Source organism: Homo sapiens, chromosome 1 (assembly GCF_000001405.40).
Source record: "Homo sapiens chromosome 1, GRCh38.p14 Primary Assembly".
Lineage (NCBI taxonomy): Eukaryota > Metazoa > Chordata > Mammalia > Primates > Hominidae > Homo > Homo sapiens.
This window is the reverse complement of record NC_000001.11, coordinates 78939608-78966384: the sequence shown is the minus strand read 5'-3', so window position 1 is coordinate 78966384 and position 26777 is coordinate 78939608. Positions and strand designations below refer to the sequence as shown.

The 26777-nt window shown below is 34.2% G+C and overlaps 1 protein-coding gene across 1 annotated transcript in view; it reads left to right on the top strand.

Annotated features, from left to right (window-relative positions):
* ADGRL4 (adhesion G protein-coupled receptor L4) overlaps positions 1 to 26777 on the top strand; it is a 116967-nt gene that overhangs the window by 40346 nt on the left and 49844 nt on the right. The window contains exon 3 of the mRNA NM_022159.4: positions 19959 to 20111. Coding sequence (NP_071442.2) covers positions 19959 to 20111 — 153 coding nt within the window. The remainder of the gene's footprint in view (positions 1 to 19958; positions 20112 to 26777) is intronic.

Here is a 26777-nt window from a genome sequence, read left to right as displayed (position 1 = left end):
GATCATGAGATATTAAGTTTGCAGACACTTTGAAGGTTGAGAATAATGGAATTTATTAGGCAAAAAAAGGAAAAAGGAAAACAGGGACTTTCCGCAAACTCAGAGTCCTGCTAGTGTGCTTCCCCGATCACAGATTGAATCCTGGGTACCACACCCCAGAACAGGAGAGAGAGGCCAGGCTCTTCCCCGCTGCAAAGGGCATGAACTTCCCATGGCTCCACCACAGTGTACAGGCTGTCAGAGCTTCTTCCCGCCTGGCTATCTCAATAAAATTCAAACTTTATATTTATGACTCTGTAGCTTATTTGTTTTCCCAATCTCATGATGGCTTTTCCCAACCAAAATTTCAAACAGCTTTGGTTTTTTTGTTTTTGTTTTTGTTTTTTTTTTTTTGGTTCTGTCCTATCATCACTGTTAAAATGAAATAAACCTTACTTTTTCATTGAAGAATAGTTCTTTTGGCAAAACATTCATTTGAGATAGTATAAACCTTGCTTAATATTTTAGAGTGTCAGCTCAGCTGTCAGATTTAAAAGCCAGCTATGTCATTCTCTAATGCTGTGTTCTTCAGTGAGTGACTTAAGATGTCTGTACTTTTAGTATTTTCATCTATAAAATGGGGGCAATGTCATTTTAAAGGTTTCTTTTAATATTTAAATGACAGAGTTAATTTACTGGCCTAGAACATAATAGTTGCTGAATCAATGTTAGCAATTGAATTCTTTTTATAAAAGATTGGTAAAAATGGATACAGGAGAGTTTAACACTTACAATCTCTTGTTATATCCAGATATTGGTCTTTGGAGTAGGTTATTTAAAAGAAGTTTCTAGTTATACTTTTTGTTGGTAAATTATTTTACTGCTTGCTACAAAATTTGTGGGTTGTGAAATAGGAAAAATTTTTTCTTTTTTTAAATTAACACTTGATTGTTTGGGTAACTCCCAGGAAATAACTGTAATGTTAGCGTGTTGTTCTATGTGCTTTATCTTCTATTAGTCTGCAAAGTTTGTATACTATAAACAAGCAAGTACAAGGAGTTAATGCTCCAAATATTTCTTTTTCTAGCATAGTTAATATTGAATGATCCGTCAGTTTTTTGCCTAAATTTTATTCTTATAACAAAGTATCATACAAATTAGTTTTATTGGGTCACATTTATATGATTGCTTTCAAGATTTAAGAGTTAAATGACTTTAGCTTGTAAATTTTAAAAAACTCCCAAAATATATATTTGCATTTTACTAGAACTCTGGACTAGATAATTATAAGCATCAAAAGGATTTCTATATTTTGAATTTGGTACATTTCTGTTTTTAATTATTAAAATCCAAGGATATTTTAGCTTCACAGTTTTTTTTAAGACTATTTACAGCCACTGTCTCTTTTTTGCTAAAAACAATTCTACAGAACATTAGAAAGCTGGATAATTAATATAATCACTTTATAGGTGAGAAAACAAGAGACACAAAATAGAATTGAGTGACTTATTCTCTCCAAAAATAAAATAATGCTATCACAGTCATTTTTAAATGGATGTTTGAAAGAAACAACTTTGATACCATAACAGAAAACATTACAGAAGCAGAAAACAGTATTTTATTTGATGAGTTTAACAGTATCTCAACTAATAAATTGGCTGTCATCCTTGCCCAGTGTGAAGATAAGGAGTATAAGGACATGTAGATGCCCACCTTGGTATGCCAATTTGCAATTACCCTATGACAGAGCACACAGTTTTACTATGATTGATGAAACATTTTAGAAGGAAAGAACTTAAATGGAAGAATTTTATTAGGTTTTGAAATGACATTGCTAACAGTAGTGCTAGGGGAAAAATAAACATAAAAACATTTTAAGTAGATAGTAGGAACGCAACCTAATCTAAGCTGCCTACAGTGCCCTTGCTATTTTCACTTACTTTTGCCTCATATATGGGGATGTAAACAACTTAATTCTAAGGTTATTGTGCGACCTTTTCTGCTTTGTACTTTGATCACAAATAGTGTCTGAAATAAAAATGAGATAACTCTAAGACTTCAGTGCTTGTCATAAAAGGCTGTTATTAAACATAAACACAGTAACTGCATACTCTGAGCTAGAAAAGCACTAGAGTGATAAATAAATGTACATTTTACAATAATAGCAGGATCACTCTGATCTTGAACATTCATTGAGCATTCATTTTCAAGTTGGACAAAAGTTTTTGAATCAGTCTCCTTTGCTCTTAAGTATTCATATCTTAAATTATATATCAATTTTACCATCCCAGATTGGGTCAGATCACTGTTCCAGAAAATAAGGCATCATGTATTTTTCCAGGTTCTGAACTGTTAGTTAAATCGTCTTCACACAGTTCAGCGGACCTAAGCAGTGGTATAAGACTGCAAAACTGATAGAGGAAAGCAACTTCTAACTGACCCTTTAGGCAATTATTGTAGAACTGGAAGCCTGATATTTGATTACACTCAGTGTCATTTTCAATTTAAATAGCTATAAATTACTCACATTTTTTGAACAGCAACAATCTTTAAATCAATGAACTCATCTAAGAATTGAAGAAATTTCCATAGGTTTATTGTATGCCTAATAAACACTGTTTCTTCACATGCTTTAGTTATTTCTTGGGGCCTTGATTTTTACCATGTATACATTTATTTTCATCTCATTTTATGAAGAAATCATGTAAAATTGTCACAAGACTAATGATGTGAGATCTAGTAGACATAAATGATAATATTTCTGTAGCATGCTTTAAGATAAAAGCATATTTGTCTTAAAATATAAACAAATGTCATATTTGATCTGGAGGGTATAAAACAAGAATTCAAGATTTATTTTCCATGGTCCCAAATTAGACTTCAAATATACACATCCAATTAGATGTTTCCATCTTCCTAAGGAGACTTCAAGAGACAGAGAAAGACAATGTTGACAGCATACTGGGCGTGAGAATACTCCAATCTAGGCAGGGTCTCTTCAGCTCCTTTCTGGGCTCAGAGAAGTTTGAGATCAGGTAGGCAAAGCAGACAGGTATCAAAGAAGCAAAGAGGTGTTGGGGCAAAGGGAATGTGGATTTTTGATTACCTATTATACATGCATAGCCTCTCTGTTGCAATGTGAACACCATGAAAATTTGTATGTATGAAAGAATCCTGTGCTAGCCCTTAAACAACTTGTCAATAATAGATGTTTGACATATTTATACCTGGGTGAAATCAAGAAAGCTTACTCCTGTGGTCACCTCATTGAACAAGAATTTATTGTTCATCTTCTATGTGCCAGGTAATTTCCAGCAATTTCTGAAAATACAAATATCAGTAAATTATGATCTTTTTTCCTTGAGAATCTCACAGTTTAAAACAGAGGGCAGATTTGTGGAGAGTTCCTCAGCTTATAATAAAATATGAAAAGATTTCATACACACAATAGCTTTGCACAGTAAGTTTTCATAAGAAAAGATGAACTTCCATGAACATTTTTCTCAAGTAGATTGGCACCCTATTTTATCCTAATCCGTTTGTTGCTTGCTTAGTTTTGTGTAGCCATAGAATTTAACTATATCCTATTAGTGCATTTTATTTTGCACATTGTGAGATATCTGTCAGATTTGAAAGAATGTTACCTGAAGATGAAAAAAAAAATCACTGAAGTTAAATTCTGTATTCTTTTCTCTAAGCAAATAAAAACTATTTTCATCTCTATATATGAAACAAAATACATGAATGATATTTCACTATATTTTTGAAGAATAATTGATGACTTATGGAAAATATCAAAAGAAAAAGATGTTATCCTAACATCATCAATATAAAGTTTCAGCTTGGATGGGGGAGACAGGGGAGAGAGGCAAGGAAATGTGTCTTCAACCTGGGTCGGCAGGAGGAAGGGGGAAATCGTGTGGATAGAAAGAACACGAGAGCCAAAATGGCTGCCATCTTCACAGATAAAGGCATATATGAGTAGGCTAAAACTTACCATATTTATTGTAGGAGAATATTTGGAGAGGTAAATGGAAATGTCTAGTAGCTATTGAGTTAGATTGCAGAGAGAAATCATATGTGGAGGAAAAAATATGTAGGAGTGTCCGCAGTGGCAGTAGTTGAACACAGAATAATGTATGTGATCACTAAGGAGAAGGACAAAAGACTGCAAACTGAGGCATATTCGGAGCACATTAAATGTTGATTTAATTATAGCCTGGAAGGCCGGGCCCGGTGGCTCATGCCTGTAATCCCATTACTTTGGGAGACTGAGGTGAGTGGATCACCTGAGGTCAGGAGTTCGAGACCAGCCTGACGAACATGGTGAAACTCTGTCTCTACTAAAAAATACAAAATTAGCCAGGTGTGATGGCGCATGCCTGCAATCCCAGCTACTTGGGAGGCTGAAGCAGGAGAATCGTTTGAACCTGGGAGGCAGGGGTTGCAGTGAGCTGAGATCTTGCCATTGCACTCCAGCCTGGGCAATAGGAGCAAAACTCCATCCAAAAAAAAAAAAAAAGAATTATAGCCTGGAATCCTGCCCATATTATGATTCTCAAGCCATGTACCATGATGCAGGACTGCTCTTTAACAGAGAAGGTAACAAAGGTTCTATATGCTTACCTAGTCACATGCCTGCAAAGCTGCATCCACCCAGAAAGAGCATCTTTTTCTAAGTCATACAATGGTGCCATTTAAGAACATCAGGGCTACATGTGACCCTGATGTCCTGCTGCAAGACTGTTGTGAAGGCCATTAAAAATATTGTCTGACACCTGGCAGACAGTAGGTCATTATCAAATGGCATCTTAGAAAGTGAAACTTTACTAAACAGAGCTAAACAGAATCAAACAGAACTAAACAGAATCAAGTGACTTGAGCGGATGGCTTCTTGTTCAAACTGTCTTTCATGACCCATTAGGAGGCCATACAGTCAAAGTAGCAGATCATTACCGCACTTTAAAACATACTGAAGTACTCACGCCTGTAATCCCAGCACTTTGGGAGGTCGAGGTGGGCGGATCACGAGGTCAAGAGACCGAGACCATCCTGGCCAACATGGTGAAACCTCATCTCTACTAAAGATACAAAAATTAGCTGGGTGAGGTGGCATGCACCTGTAGTCCCAGCTACTCAGGAGGCTGAGGCAGGAGAATCGCTTGAACCCATGAGTCAGAGGTTGGCACCCAGCTACTGGGGAGGCTGAGGCAGGAGAATCACTTGAACCCAGGAGGCGGAGGTTGCAGTGAGCCAAGATCGCACAACTGCACTTCAGCCTGGTGACAGCAAGACTCCGTATAAAAAAAAAAATACTGAAGTATATAGAGTCATAAAAAATAGAGCACACACAATAGCTGATGGAAAGATAAATATTTTGATGAAAAAAACTTACTCAATTTATTTATGAATAAATATGGGTGCATAAAATGCATTTCTTACTATAGATTTGTCTTTTTCATTTTCACTGCTCTAACAAAAATGCCATACACTGGATATCTTGTAAACAACAAAAATTCATTGCTCACAGTTGCAGAAGCTGTAAAGTCTACGATCAAAGCACTGCAGATTCATTGTCTGGTGAGGATCTGCTTTTTGGTGCCTTCTTGCTGTACCCTTGCAGGGTGGAAGGGGTAAATGAGTTCTCTGGAGCCTCTTTTGTAAGGGCACTAATTCCATTCACCTGGAAAAGTTCCTAATTCCTAATACCATCACCTTGGGGGTTAGGATTTCAACATACAAATTTGGGGGTGGGAAAACACAAGCAGCAGTCCATTGCAAGGTTACTTTAAAAAAATTGCAAAACATTAAGAAGCACACAGTAAAGTGGAAAAGTTAAAACAATATATCCAATTTCCTCGTAACTCCATGCCTTACTCACAGTTAGCTTTGTCATGTGTATGATCTGAGACACAGGATAATTATGTTAAGTCACTCAATAAGAGTGTCGGGGCTATAATTATTGTTTCAAGATCCACGAATCAGATTCATTGTCAAATTTATGGTATGTTCTAAAGGCCTATGGTTATCAGAAATCTAATTTAAATGTTTATTGTTTGTGTGATAATTTTAGATACTAGATATTTACAAACATATATAAAATCATAAAGTGCCATGTATACAGGTATGGTTTTAAAATCGGACTAGTTTTTGCAAAATTTAATAGTTTTAGAAAAACCATTATATAAACAGATTTTTTAAAGCCACATTTTTATTTCTGTAAAATACTTAATACAATGATATGCTTTTATGTAAGCATTTTTCTTAAAAGATGCAAGATATACTTTAACTCATCAATAAGCAATGAGGGATGAGATTCATCTTTGTGTTTTTTGGGCTGTTTCACTTCTTAAACTGCAGATATTATCTATTGTTAATGAGTATTCTTCAAAATGTTATTTTGAATGGCGTACACTTTTAGCTTATTCAAAATATTTGTGTTGGGCATTTAGGCTTTGGCTTATTCTTTATATTATATTACTTCTGTGAATATTCTTGTATATAACTTTTGATAGAACTCTGAACCTTAGACTTAATATCTATCAAGAAGGTTCATGGGAAAATATATGGCCACCTTTGGTGATCTTGATGTAAAAGTGTCTATCCTTGAGAGAGCAAGGTACGTGAATGCTCTGATTATACTGACTCTGGTTCAGTATACTTTTATCAACAGTTTTAAGAAAGTAAAATGTTAGAATAAATGAGTCCAGACCAATAAAATACAAGGAAATACAAATTGAATTTCATCACTTCTATAAGGTGCTTGCTATTAAAAAAGAAAACAAGATTATGAGATCAGGCAGTCCACCAGTCCATGCAATGTTCTGACATTTTGCCTAGGAGGTAAACACACACACAGGTCAGACTGGAGACATGACTAACTGAAGATGTTAAGGATGCTATGAATGTGTTTTTGCTATTTCAGCCCAATGACTGAGTCCGGTTTAAAAACTATTGGCCTGGCAAATGGTGGTATTGAGTGTGTGATGGTGTCATAACCAATTTGCCTACTTATTAATCACTGCCTAAAAAACTGATTGCAGTTTCTAAATATACTTTGCCAATTTTGTAGCTGATAATTGGGCTTTCATTTTCTATTTTAATTTTAGTTTCTTTGATTATTAGTAAAGATAAATATTTATGTAGAGCAATGAGCTATTTCTGTTTTCTTCAATGAATTACATAAAGGCATACCTCAGAGATATTGTAAATTTGGTTCTGACTAGTGCCATAAAGCGAGTATCACAATAAAGTAAGTCACACAATATTTTTAGTTTCCCAGTGCACATAAGTTATGTTTACATTACATTATACAGTAGTAAGTGTGTAGTAGCATTATGTCTAAAGAAAACAATGTATGTACTTTAATTTAAAATACTTTGTTGCTGAAAAATGCCACCAATTATCTGAACCTTCAGCAAGTCATAAACGTGTTGCTGGTGGAAGGTCTTGCTTTGATGTTGGCTGCTGACGGATCAGGGTGGTGGTTGCCAAAGACTGTGGTAACTGCAACAATTTCTTAAAACAAGACAATGAAATTTTCCACTTGGATTGTCTCTTCCTGTCACAAAAGATTTCCCTGTAGCATGCAATGCTATTTGATAGCACTTTACCCATGGAATATCTTTTAAAATTGGAGTCAGTCCTCTCAAACCCTGCTGTTGCTTTATCAACTAAGTTTATGAAATATTCAAAATCCTTTTTTGTCATTTCAACAGTGTTCACAGCATTTTCACCAGAAATAGATTTCACCTCAGGAAAAAAACTTTCTTTGCTTATTCATAAGAAGCAACTCCTCATCCATCAAAGTTATATCATGAGATTGCAGCAATTCAGTCACATCTCAGGCTGCATTTCTAGTTCTCTTGATATTTCCACCACGTCCGCAGTTACTTCCTCCACTGAAGTCTTGAACCCCTCCAAGTCATCTATGAGGGTTGGAATCAGCTTCTTCCAAACTACTGTTAATGTTGATATCTTCACCTCCTCCCATGATTCACAAATGTTCTTAATGACATCTAGAATGGTGAATCATTTCCAGAGTTTCAATTTACTTGTCCAGATCCATCAGAGGAATCATTATCTATGGCATCTACAACCTTATAAAAGTGTATTTCTTAAATAATAGAACTTAAAAGTAAAAATTATTCCTTGATCCCTGAGCTGCAGAATGGATGTTATTTGCAGGCATGAAAACAACCTTCATTTTCTGGGACATCTCCATCAGAGCTCTTGGATGATCAGATGGATTGACAATGAGCAGTAATATTTTGAAAGGAACCTTGTTTTCTGAGAAGTAGGCCCACTGTTTTATTTTTTTAACAATGGGCTTAACGTATTCGGTAAACCATGCTGTAAACAGATGTGCTGTCATAAAAGGATTGTTTCTTTATAGAGCACAAGCAGAGTAGATTTAGCATAATTCTAAAGGCTCCAGGATATTTGGAATGGTAAATGAGCACTGGCATCAACTTAAAATCAACAGCTGCATCAGTCCCTAACAAGAGCATCAGCCTGTGCTTTGAAGCTTTGGAGCCAGGCATTGACTTCTCCTCTCTAGCTATGAAAGTCTCACAGGGCATCTTCTTCCAATAGAAGGCTGTTTCATCTACACTGAAAATCTATTGTTTCCTGTAGCCACTTTTAACAATTATCTTAGCCAGATTTCTGGATAACTTGCTGCAGCTTCTACATCAGCACCTCCTGCCTCCTCTTGCACTTTTATATTATGGAGACAGCTTCTTTCCTTAAACCTCATGAACCGACCTCTGCTAGCTTTCAAATATTCTTCTGCAACTTCCTCACCTCCTTCAGCCTTTATGGAATTGATGGGAGTTACAGTCTTATTCTGGATTAGACTTTGTCTTAAGGAAATGCTGTGGCTGGTTTGTTCTTATATGCAGACAACTAAAACTTTCACCGTATCAACAATAAGGCTTTTTCACTTTCTTAGCATTTGTATGTTCACTGGAGTGGCACTTTTAATTTCCTTCAAGAGCTTTTCCTCTGCATTCACAACTTGGCTGTTTGGTGCAAGAGGCCTAGGCTTTGGGCTGTCTCAGCTTTTGACATGCCTTCCTCACTATGCTTAATTATCTCTAGCTTTTGATTTAAAGTGACATAAATGCAACTCTTCCTTTCACTTGAGCACTTACTTAGAGAACATTGTAGGGTTATTAACTGGCCTAATTTTAGTATTATTGTGTCTCAGGAAATAGGGAGGGCTGAGCAATGGAGAGACTGAGAAACAGCCAGTAGGTTCAGCAGTCAGAACACGCAACATTTATCAATTAAGTTTGCCATCTTATATGGGCATGGTTCATGGCATCCCAAAACAATTACAATCATAATATCAAAGAACACTAATCACATATTGCAATAACTAGTATAGTGATCATGAAAAAGTCTGAAGTGTTGTGAGAATTGCCAAAATATGACACAGACTTGAAGTGAGCGCGTGCTTTTGGAAAAATGATGCCAATGGACTTGATTGACACAGAGCTGAAACAAACCATAAAATTGCAATTTCTGCAAAGTACAATAAAGTGAGGCTTAGTAAGACAAGGTATGCCTGTACTCATTTCTGTTTTCTGAAGGACACAATGCTTCCATTTTGACTTCTTTTTCTTCTTTGTCTCATTATTTACAAGGGTTTTTATTTCTTTATTGTTGTTTTCTCAAACATTAGGTAATTTTAATTTTATGATATTGATAGGTAATTCAATTCTCTGTTGTCAACAATATTACATTTTATTATTCATTGTGACAAATAATATTTGAGCAACCTGGTTTTGCATAATAGATTTTAAAAATGGGGAAGAAAGTGAACAGATTGAGAGATTTGCAAAATGAGTGTTAGGCTCTTGCCTTACCAAAAATTAAAAGCTAACATAGACTTGAACACTAGACAAATACTGTTTTTCACATACTAATCAGTATGATGGCAAGATGAACTTGTTGACTCATAAATAAACTATGAGTTTGTTGCCATTTCTTGCTTAGAGGTAATCAGAGTCAAATCTCTATGAACGACTAATAAAATGTGCAAGGCTAGGTGCAGTTGACATAACCAATGTAGGCTTCCAGAAGGGATATTATCTAGGTATGGGACATGTATCCGACAGCTTAAACTGAATGCTGGGAAAGTTATGTAAGTTTACAGCGCTATACCAAGAAGCAAAGGGGAAACAAGTGATATCCTAGTTTATATTTAAAAAATGAAGACAAAGTCCTGCTAATTTTTGTGTTTCGGCAATATCTAAATGCAATAACTAATAACTAATGTCATTCCTAAATGCAATACATATAGAGGTCAAGGTTATAATCACAAATTATGGAAGGAGTGTATCATCCTGATGCTATATGCTGTTGGATACCAAAGGTAATTCAAAGTCATATTAGAATATAATCTGGAAAAAGACTAGAGTCAATCGTTATTATATAGTAAAGAAAGTACAATGTATTTGTGTAAATAAATGCATACACTTTTAGTAAGTATAGATTAGATAGTTTTTTTCCAAAATATTTTATTGCACTGATGATGTGTCTTAAAATTTATGGCATCTTCAAATCAAGGAAACAAGGTCTCATTCATAAGTAAACCTGGCTGGCAGTTATGAAGGTGTGGAAAAACTCATCAACATAAGAGAGACTTCAGAAACTGTTCTAAGTAAATTAGTGTATTTTGAGTATGAAAAAATAACATTTTACATCAGGAAAAAAATGAATGATTACGCAAAAATAATGATGAAAAAACTTACTCATTTTAGGAAAATAATTAGATTTCAACTTCACATTTTACACTGAAGTAAACTGCATATTATTTTAGAGATTTTATTGTAGGAAAAAAAACAAAGGCAATACAAAAGTACTATTAAACATTTTTATAATGTTAGGAGTATAAATGGTTTATAATTGCGATACAAGATCATAAACAAGAAAGGAAAAGAATGCAAGACATGATTACAAAAAATCTCTGCAGCTTGGGAAGCAAACAAGTAAATAAAACAAACTATGCCACAAATAAAGTTAAAAACAATTTTAAGTTTAACATTTATGTCATATCAGTGAGAGGCAATAGTTGATAATTGTTAAAAGCCTCTTGCAAATCTACAAGAAAATTAATAATGCCCAAGCAAAAGCTATGAAGAGCCAGATAACAAAAGCAAGAACACAAAATAAATGTCATGTAAATATACAAGAGGGTTCTGTACTCAGTAATATTTAAATACATAATCTCAACATGATTATAGAAATGAGATCTTATATTTTGTCTATCAAATTGAAATTGAATGCAAAGGAATTGAGAAATATGCACATCTCTTACATTACTAAATATCTACACATTTCCTGAAGATTAGTTTGGCCATGCTGATCAAAGTTTCACGATTTAGAATAATATTTATGTTGTTTTTGTTAAGTAGCCATTACTACATTGAAAAAACTTTTCCCCTATCTGATGAATTTTATTAATTACATTTTTGGTCTCTATTGATATAAGCACAAATTTTTTAGTAAGTTAGGTGTATCAGATTCATAAAAAGGAAAATTAAAATACTTAGCTATTATTGCACGTTTGTCTAGTTCCCTTTGAATGTCATGTAATTTGTTTCTCTATAGCTTTTAAGCTAAAATGTTGTGTTTAAGTTCTATATTTCTAACTACAATTTTTTAATAAACTGAACTTTTAGTGATATAATGTGCTTCTGTGTCTTTTAATAACTTTAATCTTAAATTCTACTTTAATATTGTGTGCCATCCCTATTTTCTTTGTTGAAATTTTCAAGGTTGTTTCCATTTAAAATTTAAGTATGTTTATTGTTAATAAAATATAATTGGATTTTGTTTGCAACATAATCTGACGTGCTGTGTCTTATGGGGAAATGCATGTCTTCCTCATTTAGTGTAACAGTTGATATACTTGATTGCTATTCTTATTCCATCAAAATTATTTAATGATAGCTCATTTGTTTTTACTCAGAGTTTTGTTTTTTCTCTTATGTTAGATTTTGAAGGCTTACTTTATCTTTTTTCCCTGTTTTTTAAATTCAATTGTGAATTTTCAGTACATTTCTCATTCCAGATACTTATAATAAATTCGATATTTTTGTCCTTTACTAAAATTAGATAACGAGTCTTCTCTTTTCCAGTGTGTTTTACTTGCCCACTGTGCTCCACCCTCACCCTAACTAAAGTAATATGAACCCTACTAGGTGCAGACTATTTATTTATTATTTATTTATTTATTTATTTATTTTCTGAAATGGAGTTTTGCTCTTGTTGCCCAGGCTGGAGTGCAATGGCATGACCTTGGCTCACTGCAACCTCCACCTCCCAGGTTCAAGCGATTCTCCTGCCTCAGCCTCCCAAGTAGCTGAGATTACAGGCATGTGCCACCATGCCCAGTAATTTTGTATTTTCAGTAGAGACGAGGTTTCACCATGTTGGCCAGGCTAGTTTCAAACTCCTGACCTCAGATGATTGCCTTTCTTGGCCTCCCAACGTGCAGGGATTACAGGCCTGAGCAACCTAGCCTGGCCGGTGCAGACCATTTATTAGTTTCTCCTATCAACATGTATCCTATGAGAGTCATAATTAGCACTTGTGTTATGTGTTCATGATCACACAGTCATCATCTATTTGAATTTATGTATTGCAGAGCTTATTGTCCACCATTTTTACCTCTCCATCTAATCTTCCCCTATATAAAGTTCTGTCTCCTGAATTCATTGGTATTTGGTTAGAATGCTGTCTTGAATATTTTCTTCACACACAGTGCATGATTGATCTACTCTCTGAATCCATGTATTTCTACAAATGTATTTCATTCTGTTCAGAGAACGGTTTCTCTAGCAGGTTAGAAAATTATAAAGACACACTCATTTTATCTCAGTGACATAACGTGTTACTCTATTGTCTTTCAGTGATGTTAGCAAGAATCTGATACTATTCTAATAGTTTTTCGTTTGTGAACTAGCAGCTTTTTTTTTGCAACTGAGAGCTTGTAAGATTTTTCTACCAATGATTTAATTTTCCCCATTGAATATGCATTACATCAATGATTAGAAACAAAATTCAATAAAACTAGCTCCTCAAAAACAACTTCATAGCCATCATGTAAGTCCCAGAGATACTGTAAGAGCATTACTCATCTTTACTGTACCATTGATTGATAGATACAATGGAATGACAAAGTTTTAGAGTCTTTGATAGTTTGAAAAAAATGTGTCAGAATTTTCCATATCTCCAATGGTCAAGATAAGTGGTTTCCAATATGTACAAACATAAGATTGTTTCATTTCATTTACCTTCTCTACTTATACTTCATTTTGTTTGTTTTTCTAATATGTGTATATTAATAGTTCTGACAAAGAGGACCAAAAAATGATAATAATATAAAACGGGAACATTTTCTTAAGTGCTGCATTTCCCTCAGAAAATAAGTAAGTGTAAACAGAAACAGAGACCATTCTATACAAGTATTGTTTGTTTTTTTTCCTGGCTTATACATACTTTTCAAAGTCTGACTCATAGTCAAAGTGACATTTTTCCTTCAAAAAAATTTTGAAATGAACCTGTAGTTTCAAACACTTTAAAAATTCATTCCCAATGCAGATATTGAAAATAATAATAAATACCCAACACAAACATTTTATTCTTGTATAACTCTGCTTTATTTACCTTTATAATTGTAACACTTTCATTTGATGAATTTTACATTTCCTTTACTAAATTGAACTTGAGTTCATGGTCAAGGAAATGTGAGTTTACACTATGGGCTTTATAAGTCTATTATTTGTCTTGACTGATTGAATCCATTCTGGATTCATTGTAGTTCTTTTTTTTTCTTTCCTTTCTGGTGATCTTTTCTTCCTCCTTATCTCTTTACCTGTATTTTTACTTTGGTATTCACAGAATAAATACAAACCACAGAAAGTCCATAATTGATTGAGAAGGATAGTGATGATCTTTTAAAGTTCCTTATAGTACTGATATGGAAAGAGAATTCCCAGTGCTGTTGAAAACAAATGAGCCCAGCAGCTGCATTGGGGAAAAAGAGGAAAAAAAAAAAAAAAAAGCTTTCTATGTTACTCCACCTTTGACACAGAGGGCCTGTTTTACAAGGAATCACATAATGGTTATAGTCATTTTAGTGTTCAAGTTTACGGAGCAACACTGGCAATCACGTCCAGAGGGAAAATGTGTACAGGAGTGATGCTGCTGTTAAAGTTCCATAGATTTCAAGTTGTTATAATCAATTTGAGCCCGGCCAATAATATCTCAAGTGATAAAAAAAAGACGATTCTTTTTTCTTTTTTCTTTTTATTTTTCTCCATCTTTGGTCAATAGATTAAAAAAATGAAATATAAACTAAAATCTTGTTGAGATTCTTGAATACCAGTGTCTTATAAAGCAAATAAGCTTCTGTCCTATTATACAAAGAAGATAACATAATCATATGGTTTATGGTCAAAAATGTTTCATTACTAGGGGACTCAATATAACTCTTGAATTTGGAGAATTATATGCTCGCTCTTTATGTCTTATTAAGAAGTACACTTTATGATAAAGTACACTTCACTCTTCAACGCTGAAAAATAACTTTGTCTTTGGAGTCAGACAGTCTTAAGCATAAAAACTGTGTCTACCAGATTCTCTTTCTACGCTAGCATGATTTAACCCATCTGAGCTTTAGTTTCCTCTTAAGTAAAATGAAGACAATATCAATCATTGCATTTTTGCAACAACTAAGTAATATAAAATGTACCATTTAACAGAATGCTTGAAATATGTGTTTTCCCTGAAATAATTCTTTCATACTATCGGGTATAAATCTTGCTAATCTACTTGTTGATATAACTCCAAAATAACTAAACGAGTAGATAACCATCAACAACAGAAACAAAATGCCAACAGATATTTTGAAAATATATCGTAGACATATGCATCTGTTTATTATTTTAACCCCCTGTGTAGTTTACTGGCAAGTTGGGCTGAACCATGTGAAACCCCAAAGGCTTTTTCTGGTAATGCTGAAAGAAAAATATGTGGAGAGGCTTCCTTTTTCATTTTTCTCTACCTTCACATCCTACCCTCAATCCTCTGGACTTTATCACTTGATTGGTAAGAAGAAGTAAACTCAAGGAAGAAGATACAAAGGACAACAAAAAACAGATGATGGGGAGGCAAAACAAGAGTGCAATAATGCCCCATACCCATGCTCTGTAAGCTGAGATGGAACCTGGGGAGTTAGAAGGAGAGCAAAGGAGTCCATTTAGAGATGAAGCACAAAGAAAAGCAGCAGGCTTGCCCCTTTTCTCAGGAGCTGAGAAATGCCATGCTCTTGAATCTGACTCATGCTCTGGAAGAGAAGAAGGGAGTCGTGAGCTTTCTCTCATGAATAGACAATTCATGACTGTATGGTTGACTATAGAACTATTGATACGTCTTCTGAAATGTCCTCAGTTAATTAAGGCACATCAACATTTTATGTCCAAAAGTGACTCAACATCTTACCCTGCAAGAATGTTCCTCCTCTGCTTCTCCCTGTCCTGGTAAGTGGATCAATTTATCCACCAGATCGCTCCAAGTCAGAACCTGGATTTCATTTTTGCTGCTCCCCTCTCTTCAGCCAACTCAAATATCCATTCAATCTCCAAGCCCCACTGATATTTTAAGTATTATTTTATTATGAAAAATTTAAAATACAGAAAAGCAAAATATGATATAAAAATTTGCATGTAGCTATCACCTGTTTAATCCTACCCTCTTTTCTTTATCTTCTCCAAATCACTGACTCGTAACACCTAAATATTTCTGAAATATTCCCTACTTCTTTCTCCTTGATTCTGTTTTGGTTAGTTCAAGCCTTGTAACCAGAGTTACTTGGGCCTTAGTTTTCTTTATCCTTGAAAACATGTTTTGAAACTCAAATCCGATCATATTTATCCACTACATAAAACCTGTTGATGGACATCCTTTACCCACTGGATATAATTCCAAATTCTTGGCAAGCGTTTTCTCGGTTTCAGCCATGCCTACCTGCACAGATTCTTGCCCTGAAGCCGTTACCCTCCTGCCCAGTGTCTGACAGTACAATCCTCCTCTAAATTACGCTGTTCCTGCAGGACTCCAGGCATTTAGGTAAACTTCTTCCTTTGCCTGATTGGATTGTGGGGACCCCTTTTGTTTGTCTAAACTCTTGCTTATACTTCATTACCTGACTCCAAACATCACTTCCTTTCCTAATACTTCTCTGTCAATAATCTTCACCTTTTTATCTTGCAAATGACCTAAGGAAGCCATTTTCTTCCAGTTGCCACTGTACTACTAAATACCTCTTTTATTTTTGACACACTCTACAATCTGATAATTTGGGTGTTGGTACATCTTCTCCAGTAGCTATGGATACCTTAAAGTTAGGAGCTGTGTGTATGCCTGTGTTCTTGCCGTGCTTAACTCAGCGTATCAGAGGTGAACGAGGAAGAATTTTTTATCAGAGAATACCAAATATTTTTCCTTATTAAAACATTTTAATAACATTTTAAAATATATCTACAATATAATTGTATTTTAAAGAATTTTTCAAGGGACATCTTAATCTAAATAGTTATTTTACAATCTACCAAAATTATAGAGTTAGTTACAGGGATTAGGTAGTATAACTGGTGAATTGATTTGAACATTAGAAATAAGAGTGCCCAAGAAGCAGACTTTTATTTTTCTATACTATACTCATCCAGAGAAACTTTCTCCTTGAAGATTAATTATTATGAAGTTGGACACTGGAAAGTTTAAGGCAATTTAAATAATTCATATTTATATATTACTTCACAAAGATAATTTCTTGCCTATCTCCACAATCTTGAGGGAAGAGGGAGGTTACTTTCAGATAAGTGGTATTTTACCGAACAATATTTGAGTTGGAACATTAGGGAATTTGTCCATATCATATATCCAGCCCAGAAGATAGGGAGATAGATAAGGAAATATTTTTCTTTCCAAATTCTTGATAAGAAAGCAAAGAGGTCAAGCGCTCAAAACCATACAGCAGGAAGAGACACAAAAATTAATATCAACTTTTGTTTTTTTCTACCTATTAATGTATTACCCAAGACTAGTAACAATATTTCAGGGTTAAGCAACATATTGGCAAGTTAATCTATTTTTACAAACAATCAGTTAGGTGATATAAAGTGGTTCATTTTCTTGTACTCCAACCAATACCTCAGACCTCATGTGTTCTTTTTCTCTATATTTTTGCATATCATTTTTACAGCTATAGCCCACAAGGGATACAATCCTCATCGTCCTCTATATTACCAATAACTGATCTGAGAGCCAATTTCTTTTAAAGTTTAATATAAACTTCTCCCAGTATGCCATGAAGGGAGTCAAATTTAAAGATAAAAATGAAAACTTTTATTTTAATAAAAACTCAATTATATGCTTCTGTGTTAACTTGCCTTTAGAATGTGAACTCTGACAGCAGGGCACAGATCCTGACTTTTTGATTAATTTTTACTTATTTCCCAATATAGATATATTCACTTTTGAGAACTGGGAGACTCCATAAATATTTGAGTAACTGAATGATTGAATCAAACCTAATATGGTTGAACTATTTTGCTTATGTTCAATTTGTGAACCACTCTCAGTTAATTTTAAGAAACTAGTTTAATTTCTATTTTATGCATTCATAGACATACATATCTACTTTCTGAGTATATATAGCCATATAGAGTTGCATCATATATTTATTTATATAAAATAGGTAAATTAATTAAATGCATGTTAATAAAGTATTAACTCTTCCGCATTTTATAGAAGACTATTCATAACTTATCTTACTTTATTGTCATATTTCAGCAATTTTTCTCTCTTCCTCCCACCTCCATATGCTGTGCTTTAGGGGCATTTGACAAGTGCCTGGCCAAATGCTAAATCTGAACAAAGTATCTTAAATATGCTTTTAAAATTTTTTAAATTTTAAATTTTTTAAGTGAGTGTGTACTTACTGGTACCACAAGCTACACGACACCACCTTCTATTGTCTGACTCCTGATGGAATCAAACTGTTACATTACCCACCTGGTCTATACAAACTTTTGATAACTCAACCTTTGTTCTTTCATATCTCAAAGTTGTTGGTCTCCAGGAGAAGCTCAAAGTTCTTCCCTTGCTGCTCTGCTCTTCTGTCTTCCCAGTAATAAATCAGGTCAAATGCTAGGGATTAAAATTTTCAACAGAACTTGAGATTTGCTCTCAACCTGCCAGGAAGGTAACTATGGTAAAGTAAAAAGCTATCTGATGCCACAAAGAAAAAACTCTTAGGTATGATGCCTGGGCTCTGTCTGCTCTATTTTTCTCATCAGTTAAAGATAATAATACCTACCTCCTAGAGCTTCTATAAAGCATTAAGCTAATTAATATTTATAAAACATTTGGAATAATCTTCAACTTTTAGTAATTACTATATGTGAGCAATAGCCAGTATATGAATTAAATGCTACACAACTCACCCTTTAAAAAGAAATTAAGCCTGGTTTGAATAAAATGAAGAATAAAGATTCAAGACATTTTTCAAACCTGACTTGTTTTTATGATTCTCCTGTGATTTCTCTCTGTGCTCCCCAATTAGGCTTCTTACAATCTTCAGAATATCCCAGTCACTTTTCTGCCTGCAACTTTGTCCAAAATTTTTTATTCCTTTATTTTCCTTTCTTCTTCTCTTTCTCTCTAACTGATACTTACCTATCCTATATTCTCCAGTTTGAGTCTATCAGTTTTCTAGGGCTGCCATAAAAAAATATGACCAAATTAGTGGCTTAAAATATCAGAAATTTATTCTCTCACAGCTCTGGAGGCTAAAAGTCTAAAATCAAGGTGTCAGCAGAACCATGCTGCTTCAAAAACGTGAAAACGTCTAGGGAAGAATCCTTCCTTGCCTCCTCTAGCTTTTGTGGTTGCCAGCTATCCTTGTCATTCTTTGGTTTGCAGTTACATCTTTCAGTCTCTGCCTCTGTCTTCACAAAGCCTTCTCTTCTGTGTCTCTATATCCAAATTTCCGTCCTTTTATAAGGATGTCAATCATTGAATTAGCGCCCACCATAATCGAGTATGACCTTGTTTTTCTTTAATAACATATCCAAAGGGCCTATTTCAAACAATGTCACATTCACAGACACCTTGGGGTTAGGACTTGAACTATGTTTTTTAACCCAAAACAGGGTTTCATGTCACTGGAAAATATTCTCCTCCTCCAGACCATTATGATCATCTCTGAGAAGCACATATTTTCCAATCAATTTATTTAACAGATAATATAAATCTGCTCTCTGATGTTTAAAAAGGTTTTATGAACCTTTATCTTCCCTGATAAATTATATTGTAAGAGTATAAAGGTAAAGACTATATTATTTACTTTTAATTTTTTGTATTGCATACTATTCTGTGGAACAATATAATGCATATAGTTGTAAATAAATGCATTAATGAATACATGAAAAGATTGTGTGCCAAGTAATGCAAATTTTTTCTGTGGAACAGTGGATGAAATAAATAGTACATGATAACAACATGTCAATTTGTAATTTCTGATTTTTCATTTTTAATTTATGTTGTGCTTTTGATGGATTATGAAGAGTACCATAAATTCAAAGTGAGCTTATATTTGTTGACATGGTTATAATTAAATTATATGTAAAAATTTGAAAGATATTGCCATATAGATTTAATAGTTATATCTAGTGCTTTTAAAGTAAGAGATACTATTTTGCTTTGCAACTACAAAGAAGATCTCTTATTATAAACAAGAATAAGGAAGTGTGGAATATGGATTCTTTAGCACTAAGGTTTGTAGATATAAACATCACATACCTTAAACTATCTAACAGTCAATATTCCAAAATACTGATGGAAAATAGTCAAAATTTATGTCAATTATATAAAAATAATCTTTTAAATTCATATGCCAACAGATGATAATGAATGTGGAAATTTAACTCAGTCCTGTGGCGAAAATGCTAATTGCACTAACACAGAAGGAAGTTATTATTGTATGTGTGTACCTGGCTTCAGATCCAGCAGTAACCAAGACAGGTTTATCACTAATGATGGAACCGTCTGTATAGGTAAGTTCGGTTATCTAAGTTAGAATTTGTATATATCTCTTATTGTTTGTTACCTCCAGAGGTTAAACATATTCAAACCAAATTCTGCCAGACCTTGATCGTACCCTACGTGTTAAGTACTTTCAGAAATGTAATTAATGTCCTTATTTCTCCAGTGTTTTAAAGTCTGTGGGATAGTTATCCAAGGATACAGGAAGAAGGTTTAATTTTTGAGAGAATAAGTTTGCAAAAATAAATAAATAAAAGAAAGTGAGAGAAATGTTCATGGAGTCATGAGATCTAGTATAGTGGCAAACAACAGAATAAATGTTTACACTTTAGAATAATAAAATACTCCAAGAAAATTGTCATTTGCATTAAAAGATACTGAGGCCTTTGTAAATATGCACTCTGTGATGGGTTCTACATATTTTTCAGACAATCATCATTTATAAAATAATTGTTCTAGTGGTTTTACCTCTGCTTTAATAAAAGTCACACTTCAGATATGCATTAAGTTTTTCTGAACACTAGAGTCAGAAAATTCTTTATAAAATCATGTAGGGTCACTAAAATGTCCTTTGTAGGGAAAATAATTTCAATGTAATTTTTAAGTGATTGTTCACTTATTGTGTGTCTGAAGGGAGTACCTAGACAATTTTTAAAAATATCCTTCTATTGTAATTTGGTCATGCATGTGATTTATCAGATCCTAGAGAACTGGATTACAGCCTGAGAAAAAATAATTATTTATAAACTTCAACAGATGAATAATTTTCAGAAGCAAATTCTCTGGAGCCAAAGACTTTAATTTTGAAAATAAATTTTAAATAATCTTAAGCATGGTTTCTAAAAAATATTCAACTTATCAATAACTATTATAATTATGATTGGTAATCTACAAAATTAATAGGTATGCTGAGGCCCTGAGAATGTAATCATGTAGCCAAGGTTAGACATGGGACTAGAATTCAGGAACCTACATGCAACATAGAGAAGGGTAATGCGCTGCTTCTAAATGATATAGTTAGATAAAAGAGATAGATATTCAAGTTAATCTAAATCACAATAAAGCCTTTGATTAGTGCCCTATTGAGATATATATATATATATATATTTTTTTTTTTTTTGAGACAGAGTCTCGCTCTGTCGCCCAGGCTGGAGTGCAGTGGTGCGATCTCGGCTCACTGCAACCTCTGCCTCCCAGGTTCAAGCAGTTCTCCTGCCTCAGCCTACCGAGTAGCTGGGACTACAGGTGCACGCTGCCACACCCAGCTAATTTTTTGTATTTTAGTAGAGGCAGGGTTTTACCGTGTTGCCCAGGCTGGTCTTGAACTCCTGAGCTCAGGCAATCTGCCCACCTCAGCCTCTCAAAGTGCTGGGATGGTAAGCTATGACACAATGTTCAAAAATTTTATCTGTGAAATGTCTGTGTTAAAGAAATCATCCAGTCTCATGTACCTACGCTTCACAACATTTACTCTGTTATGTAAAAAAGGAATATTTTATTCTCCTCATTTTATTGCCAAGGAAGTAAAGGACTACTCTAGATTCATACATTTTGGATAAAGGTAAGGCTACACTCACAGTCTTGTATCTAAAAACCCTTTGTTATTTCCATGGAATACTTAAATGTGTAGTAGACCATTTAAATATCACTTTGATCTGAATCATCCAAATACAGCCGATCAAGCTTTGCAAGGGTATAAAATATTTAAAATATGAGAAAACAATGCTATTACTGTTGAATGGTAATTTTACCTTTAGTGTTTCTAGAAAAAAGTTTTATTGCAATATAGCATAACAACATTCTCAGGAAATAGGAATCAATGATATTCTGCCCAGAAAACTTACAGTACTTCACTGTTTGTTCTTCTCAAGCCTATATTCTTGTTACTAGTCTTAGAATGTCATATAATGTGCTTTTTACCTTTGGTAGTTCAGTTCTAATATGCAGCCCTGCAAGCTTTAGTGGAAATGTTCCAGTTAGTGAAGAAGTCTAACTTGTAACATCTTAATCACTGTAATTTAATACAGTTTTAACTGTGCTCTCCATTCCCTAATGTCTCTTGTCTGTAGAAGACATCTGTCTTTTTATCTGATCATGTTTACTTTTAATAACCCTCAACTCACAAAGGGCTACATTTCTCGGTTCATGTTCCTTGAAGTAGAGAATTTCTGCATTAGAAAACACTGAATCATAAATACAGAGAAAACAAAAACACAAAGATTACTGAATGGCAACATTTTATGGAGGTAGTATATTTGTAATTGAAGACTCTTTCTCTTGATACTCAATTTCTATTGTGTTAAGGTGGAATGGGCCTGAGTTTGTGCTAATTCCATTTTTAGCTATTTTAAGTAGTCAGTAAAGGCACTAACCTTATTAAAGCCCAATACCCAGTATTGAGCCCTTCTGTTTCTACCTGTTTTGTTTGATGGATTATTCAGTGAAAAATTCATTCTCTAGAAAAATGTTATTTCTCATCAATTTTTGTTGTCTTTAAGGATTAAGCTTTTTTGAAAAGCAGTGCAGCTATTTCTTTTTATTTCAGTCCTGCAGTAATTTTCGTTGCACAATATCATAATCCTCAGGGAATTTGAACAGAGAAACATAAATCTACTCCCTTTTGCGTTAGTATATCACCTTACAGTGTATTGCTTCTGATTTGAAATTTTAGCTTATCCTTAAATTTGACATTTCTGGTAATTATAGTCATTAAAATCTCTATGAATAAAAAATGGAAGACTTTGATACAGGGCAAGAAATAATCCAAGCAAAATTCTTTACCTTTAGTCCATATTCAAATACTATTTTCGACACATAAGTTCATTTTGCTGCAGAAAGCGCTGGGTGAGATTTAGCACTGCACATATTTCTCCTCCTCTTTGAATCACAGTAAAACAGAACTTCAGAAGTCCAGCTCCTGAGAAACCTAGTTACACACAAGAATTTCACAAGGGGAAGCTGAGGCATCCAATAGTAAAGTCAATCTCCTAAAACCAAATTAATAGAAGCCATGAATTCCTTCAATTTCACCATGTGTTTTAGAGCATTGTTTACTGCTTGTAATGTCCTACTGCCTGGAGCACTCGATGATAATTGTAGATTTTTTTTTCTAGCTTTGAATAATATTAAATTTTGTCTTTGAAAATAATTTACTATAATTGAACATTTTATCTTTCTTTGGCAGTCTGTGAGTTACGCATTAGAAAACTGTATTATTGATCATAATTATAAGAATCATAACCATCATATGATCATGTTTTGAAAGAAGATTATGATAAAATATTGCTGGATTGGCTAATTATACACATGGAAACAAACATAACATTATTATTATCATTATTATTATTATCATTATTTTTGAGCTGAGGTCTCTGTTACCCAGGCTGGAGTGCAGTGGTGCAGTTATGGCTCACTGCAGCCTGGAACTCCTGGGCTCAAGTGATCTTTCTGTATCAGCTTCCCAAATAGCTGGGACTACACTACACACCACCTTGTCTGACTAATTTTTAAATTTTTTTAGTAGAGACAGGTTCTTGCTATGTTGCTCAGCCTGGTCTCAAACTCCTGGAATCAAGTGATTCTGCTGTCTCAGCCTCCTAAAGTGCTGGGATTACAGGTGTGAGCCAGCCAAGCATCACCTATTAATAAAAATGAGTTAAGATTGTTTGTTAATGATATGCTTGCATTTAGTGATATCAAATTATTAGTTTAAAATCAAATAAGTTGGTAGTGAGGAAAGTGGGTCAATCAGTAAATCAGGTCTGTCAAATCTAGCCTGACTTAAATAATTACCTAACAGAGATTTAGCTTTCATTAAGATAGGAAAGAGGTTTCTTTTTTAATAGATTTGGAGATTACCAAGACATGGTAACCTAGAAGAAAACACTCTTTATTTATCTGTATCTTCAAACATACTTAGTCACAAGGCTCCTGCTATTAGGAAAATATGCAATATGAGTAGAATCACCAGTCCTGATTTTCCAGTTACAGTATCAGGTGGCAACTATATCCTAGGCACTATTCCACCTTCCCATACATTTTCTTATTTGTTGATGAGGTAGAACTCTTTTGGATTAGAAGGTGTCTTTTTTTTTTTTTTTTTTTTTTTTTTGAGACGGAGTCTCGCTCTGTCACCCAGGCTGGAGTGCAGTGGTGCTCCCAGGTTCATGCCATTCTCCTGCCTCAGCCTCCCGAGCAGCAGGGACTACAGGCACCTGCCACCCATGCCTGGCTAATTTTTTGTATTTTTAGTAGAGACGGGGTGTCACCGTGTTAGCCAGGATGGTCTCGATCTCCTGACCTCGTGATCCACCCGCCTCGGCCTCCCAAAGTGCTGGGATTACAGGCGAAAGCCACTGCGCCGGGCCTAGAAGGTGTCTTTTTAAGATATTACCCAAGGTTATCACACAGCTCATAAGTGTTATAGTCAGGATTTGAATTTAGATCTTCTAATTAGCAATCCCGGAGACTTTTCCTGCAGGAAAGAGGAAACCGTAGGTTTTAGCCATTTGAACCTGCAAGAGATTGCAAGAGAAATTAGTGTGGATCTTGCTGCAAAATGACAGGCACATTCACTGTAGACAAGCCAGTTTCACTGGACATTTAAGTTCAAAGTGCAAGAAGGAGGATGGAAATTGAGTCCATGGAGCCAAGATTTTTGTGTTTCTCAGAGATTGGGTTTGGAATAAAGTTTCTAAGACTGTTGCACATTTAAAAAAAAAAGGGGGGATTGAAATTGAGAGAAAAAACCACCTTGTTTACTGTTACCTATAGAAGGCATCTCAACTACAAAACAAGGGTATTCAAAGAACATAGTAGTTTTCTTGCTCATGAAATAAATTTTTTTTGGTGTTGTTTATGATACTTCATGGGTTTATTCACACTTTCATTGGGGTGTTTTCCCAGTTGGAGTATAACATTTCATACTTCAGCAGTTCTGCTCTAAAAAAGACTCATCTTTGCTTTAGTCCTATATAGCTTTCTCACTTCATTGATTTCATGACAAGTGATAACCCTAGTCTGCACTACCATCTGAGTGCTTCTGTCTTTAGCCCAGCCTAGAATGCTTTCCTTGATGGTTCTCCATATCCCAAGGTCACTTGTCATTACTTCTCCCCTACTTTATTTTCTGTTAATTCATTTCTGTGGAGTGGTAGTTCCTGAATACACTTAGAAATAGAGGATGAGGGGTGAGGGTGCTACAGGAGCATTTGTGTTTCTTTGGAAGTGGTGTGCTCATATTTCTGGGTAGTACAGATTTTGAATATATATACTTGTCAGAAGAACAAGAACTGTTCTAACCTTTTAGGCCTGGGCTATTAGCTGACCTCTTAAATCTAGTACCATCACCTTTCTAGTGAATGGAGCTTTCTTTAAGAATGTAGCAAGAGGCTCACTTTCCATTTTCAGTTTTGGTGGTGTGAATTTGGATGTGTTTTCTAGGTCTTTTTGTTGGATTTTTGAGTGAGAAATTACGAACACCTGCATTTAAGATAACTAGCTAGATGACATTTTAAATTAGACTTTGGTTACACACCCTTTTTCTACAGCAAACAGTATTATGCCACCCTATTAGTTTTAAATAAATTACATTATAAATTTAAGGTTAGATGTTCATTTATTAATTTAATATAAAGTATCTTTAAGACGTCAAACCTGGGGTAGAAACATAAAAATTTTTGCATTAATTCAAGGTAATGATCTAGACTCCTCAGTTCCTTAGAATCTTTTCTCTAGTGGCAGATTATTTATACTGTACTTATAATGTGAAGCATATTTCACTGTAGTAAGTAAAGTTTTAAATTAAGAATATATACTATGTAAGCTTAAAACCCAGCACCTTTATTACAGCCTCAATACATGGCTTTTGAGAATGTAAGACTTAATTCTATATAATGTATTACTTTATTTATGATGATTGTGTATGAAGAACCATAGTAAAATATAACCTTGAACAAAAGTAATAAGTTGTGGTAAAATTTTAAGGGAATTCAATCACACGTTCTGCTATATCTTAGTTTTTTAGGTTAACTTAAATGCAAAAATGAAGCTTTGGAAAGAAATCAGGTCGCTCTTTTATCCTCCAGATTACACTGAGTTGTTGAAATCAGTTTAGTTTAATACTAGAAAACAAATAAGTTTAAATGTGTTTCTTAAATTGGGTCTTTGTTAAATTAGAACTAAATGTTACATCATCAATGATGGAAATTTCTGTAATGACTTTGTTGATTAATCACGCAATTCAGAAAGCAATTTGAGAATTTGGCCCATGAATAATATTTTCAATACTCTGTCAAAATTGATTGGAGGAATTAAAGTTAAAAAGTATATGCATCTAAGTTTGTTCTGCCATTGTCTAAATGATAGTATTTCTCTTGCTTTCTTGTAAAATTTGACATGAAACTGCTAATCATAAGTAACACTATTTTCAACAAGGTAGCAGGCATATGAGCACTAAAACATTTTTTCAAATATTAGTATTTCCAGATATAGATGAGTGCAGTGAGTCAGTTGCCTGTGATGATCATTCCATATGTGAAAATGTGAATGGTGGGTATAACTGCTCCTGCAAAGAAGGTTATCAGACATCCACAGGAAAATCACAGTTCACACATAATGATGGCGCTTACTGCCAATGTAAATTACATTATTAAATTTTATGTATGATCAAAGAACTA